The sequence below is a fragment of the Homo sapiens genome, chromosome 6 (assembly GCF_000001405.40).
Source record: "Homo sapiens chromosome 6, GRCh38.p14 Primary Assembly".
Lineage (NCBI taxonomy): Eukaryota > Metazoa > Chordata > Mammalia > Primates > Hominidae > Homo > Homo sapiens.
Window position 1 is genome coordinate 25826031 of NC_000006.12, and position 9741 is coordinate 25835771.

At 36.8% G+C, this 9741-nt stretch overlaps 1 protein-coding gene across 7 annotated transcripts in view; it reads right to left on the reverse strand.

Annotated features, from left to right (window-relative positions):
- SLC17A1 (solute carrier family 17 member 1) overlaps positions 1 to 6022 on the reverse strand; it is a 108310-nt gene extending 102288 nt beyond the window's left edge. For 6 of the 7 annotated variants that reach the window (XM_017011201.3, XM_011514818.3, NM_005074.5 and 3 more), the window contains exons 1-3: positions 5964 to 6022; positions 4494 to 4577; positions 431 to 603 (exon numbers count right to left, since the gene is read on the reverse strand). In XM_017011201.3, the coding sequence (XP_016866690.2) occupies positions 431 to 603; positions 4494 to 4527 (207 nt within the window). In that variant the 5' untranslated portion in view covers positions 4528 to 4577; positions 5964 to 6022. The remainder of the gene's footprint in view (positions 1 to 430; positions 604 to 4493; positions 4578 to 5963) is intronic. The other variant, XM_011514821.3, reaches the window with a different exon arrangement.
- Positions 6023 to 9741: the final 3719 nt, after the last annotated feature.

Genomic DNA, 9741 nt, shown 5'->3' on the forward strand with positions numbered 1-9741 from the left:
TTATTTTTTGCTGCATCTACATCTTCTGGTAGATAACAACTGATTATCTTCCAGAGATGAAATTAATGAAACATTTAAATATCCTGCAAGTCAAAAACTTTAAAAATGTAATGTGTCTTCACCTTCCACTCCTAATTTAAAATGCTTTCCCTTTTTTTCCTCTTGTCCAAATTTCTTGATTGTAAAGAAGCCCTAACTCTTGGGTTTTATTCTCTCTCACATAGAAGGATTTACACAACAAGCCCTTCAGAAATACTGAGGCATACTTTAATCATGGGACATTTTATTTAGGTCACTCCTGGCAAGGTAGATGAAGACTTGAGCTTCTTTTTCAAATATAGTATCATATCAGTACAATTCCATATCTACACAAATTAGTTAGCAAGACAGGCTTTTAAACATTTGACTGTGGGGAAAATTATTGATGTACCTTTATATTATCCAGGAGCTTCTTTGTGGAGGTGTTGGGCAAACCATGTGGATCTGTGCTATTCACCATGACTACCATTGTGAGGTTCAGGCACGCACGCTGTGCTGTTATTATAACATTACAACAGTGCACAAGGAAAGACAATCCATAGCGAAAGGAACAGAAACCTGGAACTACAAAGTAAAACAGAAAGTCGCAATTGCTGACAGAGCTGAGATAAAAACATACTTTAACTATAGGAGGGACATTCAGAAATTTGGAGCCCTAGATATTAATTTAAAATTTTATTGTACTTAATGACCTTTGATAATTATTATATAATAAGAAGATGTGAGACTGATATAATAATACCATATTCTCCTTAAAATTGTATTTCCAGCTAGAAGTTCCAAGAAAATCAAGCCAATCTTTCAAGTTCTTTGGCTCAAGTCTATTTTTTAAAAGACCCTTTATAAATACCCTGTGTTACTCTTGGACATAAGTCCCCCTAATTACAACAAAGACATTTTCTGTCAAGAAAACTATTCCTTTTCCAACATTTAAAAAATACTCTGGTTGAAAGACTTATATATGCCCAATGCAGAGAAAAAAATGGCATTTTAAAAAAATGTAATTACTTATTGATATAAGCTAGAGTAATCAGTTGGTGTACAGCCAAACAAGTTCATTGATGGAAGAAAGTAGGGAGTCCAGAAACAGATACACATATATGGTTAACTTTTTAAAAATAAATGTACTAATGCAATCCATTGGAGGAAAGTAAAGTGTTTTTCAACAAATGGCATTTTTTTCAAGAGAAATACAGGTATATGTCTACAAAACAACACATACAGAAATGTTTATAGTAGATTTATTCAAAATAGCAGAATGTTTGGAAAGAATGGACATATCATGGTATGTTAATACAATGCATATTACTCAGAAATAAAAGGAAAGAACTACTTATACACAACAATTTGGATAAATCTGGATGAATTTCAACAAAAACATGTTCAGTTAAAGAAGCTAGATACCAGACAGTATATACTATAGGAATCTAGTTTTATGAAGTTCAAAAACAGGCAAAGTTAATCTATATGGCCCCCTCCATCTCCAAAATCAGCAATGGGAACCTACTTTATGTTGAATCCCTCTCACACTTTGAATCTAGCTACTCTGCCTCTGACCTGTACAACCAGATTTAAAGGGCTCATGTGATTAGATCTCTCCTAACTGCATAATTTCGCTATTTAAGATTAACTGATTTGGGACCATAATACATCTGCAAAACCCCTTGAAGCAGCACCTAGCTTAATGTTTGCTTAAATAACTGGGAGAAAGTGTGTATACACCAGGGGCTGGGAATCTTGAGAGAAAACTTAGAATTCTGCCTACTACAGTCCACCATCTGGCCCTTAAAGACTCATGTTCATTTCACGTGCAAAACATATTCACCCATTTCAAGCTTCCCAAATTCTTCATCTTATTACATTATCAGCTCAAGTTCAAAACCTCATCAAAATCTCATAGCACAAAGTCCAAAATCTCATCATCTAAATCAGGTGTGGAAGAGGGGCCTATGATTAATCCCTCCTAGGGCACAATTTCTATCTGTGGGCTTGTGAAACTAAAGAGACAAGTTATATGCCCCTAACACTTTTACCACGTAATGGTGGAACAGGTGTAGGATAAAGCTATAGACATTCCAGTTCCAAGGTGGGAAAAATAGAGGAGAAAAGGAGTCATCGATCCATAAAGGTTCTGAAGTTCAGCCAGGCCAATGTTGGATTTTTCATAAGGTCTGGAGATAATTCTTGTGGCTCTTGGCTCCACCCTCTGGGCTTTGGGCTGTATCCTCTGTGCTCATTGTTCCACCCAAGAATAAAACAGGGGCCAGGGAGCTTGGGTGCCATCTTGGAATTCTGTCTACTGCACATTCATAGTTAACTAAGAATTTTTTATTGCAAATAAATATTAATATCATAAATAAATAGATTTTTTATATCTATTGAGATAATCATACTGTTTTCCTCTTTCAATTAATTTGTGTGGAGTGACATGTATACATTTTCTAACATTAAGTTACTCTTTTATTTTAAGAATAAACCTGACTTAGTGTTGGTGGTTGCTTTTTTAATGTTTTTATAAATTCTTAGATTTGTTTTGTTCTGTTAATATTTTATTTAGGATTTGGTGTCTTTATAATTTTCATAAGACTATTTTGCTTTATATATTGGAAGCTATTTTATTAGATAATAAATATTTTACATCATCTTACCGAATTGAATTTTATATCATTTTGCAACATTCTTATAGAATCGTTTGAACTAGCAAAAGACTGTAAACAAATTAGATGTTTATAAATCAGTGACCATTTAAATAAATTATAATATATCCATCCATACCAAAGTCATTTGCAGCTATAAAAATGCTAAGGAAAATCTCTGCCAAAAATTGTGGAATACTCTTTAGATAAACTGTTAAATGAAAAAAAGCATTAGTACCCAACAAATAGTTGGCTAGTTTTCTGGCCAACTGAGCTTCCGTTGTTAAAAGATAAGAATATTAGATAAAATATGCTTAAAATAAACCATTTTTTTAAAAGCATGGGTGATCTAAGAGGAAAGATGAAATATTCAGGCCAAGGGCTTAGTGAAGATGGGGGCCTCAAAACATAAGTTGGGCCTTGAAGTCAGATGTTTCACTGTGGACTTTTGATCTTGGGATTTTTGGCCTTCCATGATATGGGGACAACAGGAATCAAATACCAAGGTCCTAGCGATGCGATAGTGTATAGTAGGAGACCCTCTCCTAAAATGCTTGGATGTCAAAGATTTACATGGTTCAATGGAGGATGAACACATTGCCCCCTTATCTTGTCAGTGGACTGCCAAGAAATTTTGTGCCATATGAACTTAAGAGCTGAATAGAAGGGGGTAAAAGAATACCCCTGAGAAATTTAATCATCAGCCAGCCCTTCCTTTGATTTGCTGCCTAAACTCAGTATCATAGGGAAGTGAATGGATCTAGAAAGCTATCAGAAACTTTGTAAACACACCTGCAGGAGTCTCTACATGGTAAAAGGGAAGTCATTGTCACCATGTCAGAGAAGGGCTCATTGTCTTAGTCATTTAGGGGTATGCTTTTGAGTTTTACTCATTTCTCTCCTCCACATTGCTCCAGGAAGTCCATGAATTATGTCTAAACAAGTTTTAAGTTAAAAAGAAGACCACAGGGGGAATTCTAAAGTGTTTGGGATTGAGTAATAAGAATACCGCATATCAAACTCATGGACAGAGTAAAATGTGCATCTGTAAATATATTTATCAAAAAAGAAAGAATTTAAACACTTGGAAACTGAGCAAAGGAACAAACCCAAAAAGTCTAAAAGGAATTAAATGCATAAGGGCAGAAATGAATAATATATAGAAAAAAACATATATATATAAACTTTGAATGCAGATTAAATGGACAACTTAAACAATCAAAATAATTAAGTATCAAAGTTGATACAAGAAGAAATACATAATTTAATATACAGTAACTTTTTCATAAGTTGAAAAAGTATACAATCTATCGCTCATCTCCTTTTCTGGGATTTTGTCCCCTATGACATTGACACAACGCTAAACCAATAGCAGTAATCCTTTATTGTCATTACACTACCCTGCCTAAAATAAACAGCTTCTCTCAAAAAATATTCAGTACACATTCAGCTGTTGATGTCCAAGAATGCAGGGACTCAAGAACATTCATCCTGCCTTACTTCCACTTACAGATCTATCTCTCTTTCTCTTGGAGATGGAACCAAAATAGCCCAGTTTTTTCTGATATTTTCCACTAAATGATAAACTGACAAGTGCGCAAAAATGAAAATAAAGTGTAAGCCACCAGAGTATGTAGAATCTTTTTATTTAGGGCTTTTCTGGTGGAAAACCATAGTAGGACTGGTTTCTTCTACCTTCTTTTCTGAACATTTTTAAGACCCCATATGTATATCACAAAAATATTCTTCCACATGGAATCTGTGATGTAATATTTAAGAAAAAGAACACCTGTTTAATGGAACAGAATAAAGTGCTACCTTTTTTGGGAGGCAACCGGTTATCCATTTGCATACACGGCTGAAGTTGCTTCTCTTCTTGCTGAAGGGTTTTGCCTCCACCCACTGTGAGTGCAAAACACGTTGATGTCAGCATAATGTAGAGAGGCAACTGACCAAACACTACCCAGTACTCCTCTCTGATTTAAAACCGCTTCCAAGGATAACTTGCTCCATCACAGCAGTGCCCATTCACCTCCATTATGTGCTTCCCTTGATATTTATTTTACTTTTGTGATTGTTTTGGTTGATTAAAAATATATGGAAGACCTGAAAACTACAGAGAACAAACAAATAACCCTGCCAATCCAGAATTCTAAATCCGTGATAATATTCCTCCAAAGTGAGAAATGGAAAGAATTCATTGCCAGTAGACCTGCCCTGTAAGGAACACTAAAAGAAGCCTTTCAGGCAGAAGGAGATTGCTATAGGTCAGAAACTCGGCAGTATGAAAAGAAAGGAAGAATGTCAGAAAAGGAGTAAGCAAAGGTAAAACAAATTCCTTTTTTCCCCCTGTATCTTAATAGAGCTGGAAGATACTATCTGCTTATTGATAAGATCAACTCAAGCAGAGGCTAATCATTCGTTACACGTCCACATGCCCCTGTCCGTATCTTCAGTTTCCGTGGATAGAGCAGCCACTGATGCAAAGCTTTATGGCAGGAAGCTCAGTGGAGAATCAGAATGGAGCAGTCTCCTATCAGGCAACCCCTTACCATCAGAATTCAGCACCAATATGTGCTGGTCAGGTTAGACCTCAGGATTTTACCATATCAGATTATATGATACCTAGTGCCCCAAAGATACCAAAGTCCTGAGATTGGATTTGCAAAATATTTTTGAATAAGCAATTTGTCAACCATCATTATCACACATTGGAACCTCTTCTGGGGCTGCTGTTTATTTCAATACATATATACATACACACCAAATGCACACACAAACCACCCATACGTATGCACCACATACATACATACAACATAAACACATGGTACAAACTCCCCTTATGTTCTCCACACATACACTCCAGACACATAGCAAACCAAACATATAAATACGTTACAATACTGCATCCTCAAAACGGAAGTACAAACTACAAACACCACACACATAACCACACACACACATAAATGATGGGCACAGATGCACCAGGCGTACACAGTGTGCCACACACATTACAGACACAGCACACCACAGCTATACAAGCATCACACACTGTACAACACATACTTCTCTTTCCTTGTGTCCCTGTGAACCTCACACTGATTGCTAAAAATATGTTCTTTTTTCTCTTGTGAAAAGCCTCAGAAGATAGGGCATATTCCACCCCTCCCCACATTTTCCCCTATTGCTAAGTACTTTCAATAATATCTTTGCCAGGGAATGCCCCCTTACGGCCCTCTGGGGAATCAACTGATTGCTCATTTCATTTAATGAGCCCCGTAGACTAACCTGATTCGGGACAAAAAAGTGATTTCTTCTTCCGCTGTGAAGACTTTTCTCTCAACTTTACACAATATTGACTTTCTAGGATTACCAAGTTTAGCCCCATAAATCATTCACCAAATCTTTTGACATCACTGTGTCGAAGTTAAAAGCTTAATTTTTAACTTTACTGTTACCTTTTCCTTAAAGCTTCAGGGAAGGTGTGTGGGTCAAAATCATCCAGTGGACCAGAAACTGGGAATCTGCCAGTAATTTCATGGCATAATAAGCAGACACCCTTAGTCTCTCTCCCTGCCCAGGAGGTAGAGCTTGCCTGCCATAAGTGCTCTCAAGATTTCTCTATTAAGGATGGCTCTGAGTATACAATGCTGTTCTCACAGGAATGTTGTGGCTTTCTAAATGCCCCATAAATGCCATATTAAATTTTTACTCTTAATTCCCTTCCTTCCTTTCTTCCTCCTTTTCTTCCTTTTTTCTTTCTTTCTTCCTTCTCTTTCCCTTCTTCCTTCTCCCTCCTTCCTTGCTTTCCCTCCTTCCCTCACCCTGTCTCCTCCACACTCCTCTCTAAACAGTACATCTGTTTGACATTCAGCATACTCAGAAAGAGGTACATTTTATTGAGGCATGTCCTCTGGAAGGTGTGGCTTCTCTCATGGCTCTTCCTGCAATTACTGTAGGTTCTGGTTCATCCACTTGGTTATAGCAATATCCAGAAACATTAAAAAAAAAACATAGAGAGACAGGATCTCACACTGTCACCCAGGCTGGAGTGCTATGGTGCAATTATAGCTCAGTGCAGACTTGAACTCCTGAGCTCAAGGGATCCTTCCACTTCAGCCCCAAGTAGCTGGGATTACAGGTATGCAACACTGTACCCAGCTAATTGGTAGAGACAGGGTCTTGCTGTGTTGCCCAGGTTGATATCAAACTTCCTGCCACAAGCAATCCTTGTGCCTTGGCCTCCCAAGTGTTGGAATGACAGGCGTGAGCCGTCGTGCCTGGCCCCTAATACTTTTAACTTAGAACTCTTTGAAGGTAATCTACTAATTACTTAAAAATATCCAAGCACTAAAATCAGTGATTTTGCATTATAGGTAATTTATTTCATGCTTAACAAGTTTTTTTTTAATTTTTATCATGCTTTTAAAGTGCTCATTAAATGTTTGGCACATAGCAGATGCTCTGTAAATTCAACCAGTTATTTTTTTCCTCTAAAGAAATGTTGTAAATCTTTAACCCCTTTGCCCAGGAGACTTTGATGTTGTTATTCAGTTAGATTTTTTCTTTTTCAAAAGTCCAGATTCTGCTGGTCCTCTTCTGTGTGTTGCAGAATGTTTGTACTGTCCTGTTTCATGCTGGGCAATTTCTGGCATTTTCTGAAAGAGGAGCCCTTTTAGTGATTGAAACCCCTAGGTCAGCAGTTGTTCAAAGTCCATGTGTTAAATAATAACACTCCCATCTGCCATCAGTATCCCAGTTCTGGATACTGATTACCTGAAGGAGAACCATCTTTCTGTTTGCTGGCCCCAAAGCTTTCTGCTGCTCTGTGAGATTCTTTGAAATTGTTTCTTTTGGATTCTGTGTTTTATGTATTAAATTTTTAAATTTATCATTTTATTATGGAAATGTTTAAGCATACAAAAAAGTAGATCAGTTTAAGATAACTGTGTACATATTCACCCACTTCAATAATTATCAATATTTGGCCATTTGAGTTTTCATTTGGCCTTTTGAATGTTATCAACAACATTCAATGGTTGTTTTTTGTAGCATTTTAAAGCAGATCTCAGACATTATGTCATTTCTTCTATAAAACATTCAGCATGGCTATCTAATTCATTAGGACCTTAAAAGATATAACTAACATGGTATCAGCACATCTAGTAAATAAACAATAATCCCTTAACATCACCTAATATCCAACCTTTATGACAATTTTCCCAATTGCTTCAAAATTGTGTCCTTTATATTTGCTTGATTTAAGTGAGGATTTGAATAGGATCCACATAATGGCGCTTAATTGTTACGGCTGTCATGTCTCTTATTTTATAATAATCCCCTCTCCCAGTTTACATTTGCCATTACTTAAAAACAACAACAATAAAACAGGATCCCTTGCAGAGTGTCTCTCCTAATTGGTTTGGCTAATAGCTCGCTTTTAGGATTATTTGATATATTTTTGTATTTCCTTACATCCTGCAAACCGTGAGGTTTATATAGAGGCTTGGTTAGATTCAGCACAAAAACAATTCACAGGGATATGGGATGATACAGGGTACTATCGCTCCGTGTTGGGAGGCACATAATAGCAGGTTGTCTCACTTTTAGTGGTAGTAAGATTAATCAGTAGTTTCAGATATTCTTAGCCTGACTTATTAATAAAGTTTTCACCAACATTTCACCTATGGCTTTTAGCTACAGTTAGTAAATGTTGCCTAGATCTATCATTTGATTAGAAGTTATAAAATGGGCCGGGCGCGGTGGCTCATGCCTGTAATCCCAGCACTTTGGGAGGCCGAGGCGGGTGCATCACAAGGTCAGGAGATCGAGATCATCCTGGCTAACACGGTGAAACCCCGTCTCTACTAATAATACAAAAAATTAGCCGGGCATGGTGGCAGGCGCCTGTAGTCCCAGGTACTCGGGAGGCTGAGGCAGGAGAATGGCATGAACCCGGGAAGCGGAGCTTGCAGTGAGCAGAGATTGCGCCATTGCACTCCAGCCTGGGTGACAGAGCGAGACTCCGTCTCGAAAAAAAAAAAAAAAAAGAAGTTATAAAATAGTGATTTTCTAATTCTATCATGTCTCCTTCATTTATGAGCTAGAATTTTTTTATAAAAAAGGAAATTTACTTTATCAAACATTTGGTAAGCTGGAAATACAGATTTAATAGGAAAGTTACCATAGTTACTTGATAAAGTTCTAAAATAAGTTAGTGTCTTAGCAAAAATGACCAAGTACTATTATGACCTCATGGATTTTATTTGATGTTTTACAGTCTATTGCAGTTCTTATTCCTTTTCGATGCTCCAATTGTTCCTTCTTTGGTCAGTGGGAGTCCCTTCAAGCTGATTTCCATGTCATTATGATATGACTCTTGTGGTCTTGAATAGCTTTCTTGTCTTCCAACACACAAAAAACTTTCCAGCTTCCTCTTATATATTTTCTTTTTTTTCTTTTCTATTATCAGATCTGGGCTTTCTTAGGAAGTGCTGGCTCCTTTCAGCAGGAAATAATGTTTAGAGACCACACTCTGAACACTAAGTGCTCATTGTTCCTGGCTCTCACTGCTTTTAGATGTTTTCAGTGGAAGAACTTGAAAAGGGTATTTTTTTGAAAAGAAATTATAATTTTTTCCTTGTATTTCTAATTCAAATTTAGGATTAGGGCTATTCTCAAAATTCCTTTGATTTTATAGTCTTACATATTTCTCTTTTGTTGAATATCTTTGTTCCCAATGAATATACTTTTTTGCTTTATTATAGCATGCCTGTATTAACATGAAAATAATACTAATAGGATTGCCAAAATCAACTGCTGCCTTCCCCAGAAACAGATCCTGAGATGAAGATTAATGTTAAAGTGATGTAATGGTATTTTCGGGAAAACAAACCAACAACAAAAATAGTAAGGAGGTTGGGAAGTGGGCAGGGAAAGAAAGGAGACCAAACAAGGGTACAAAAACAAGCCAAGTCTGGAGGAAGGTAATTTTGGACTAATGCTACAAGAGAGCAGTGGGAACAGTGTAGTCTGCACCTCAGATTCATCCTAACCAAAGGTACAG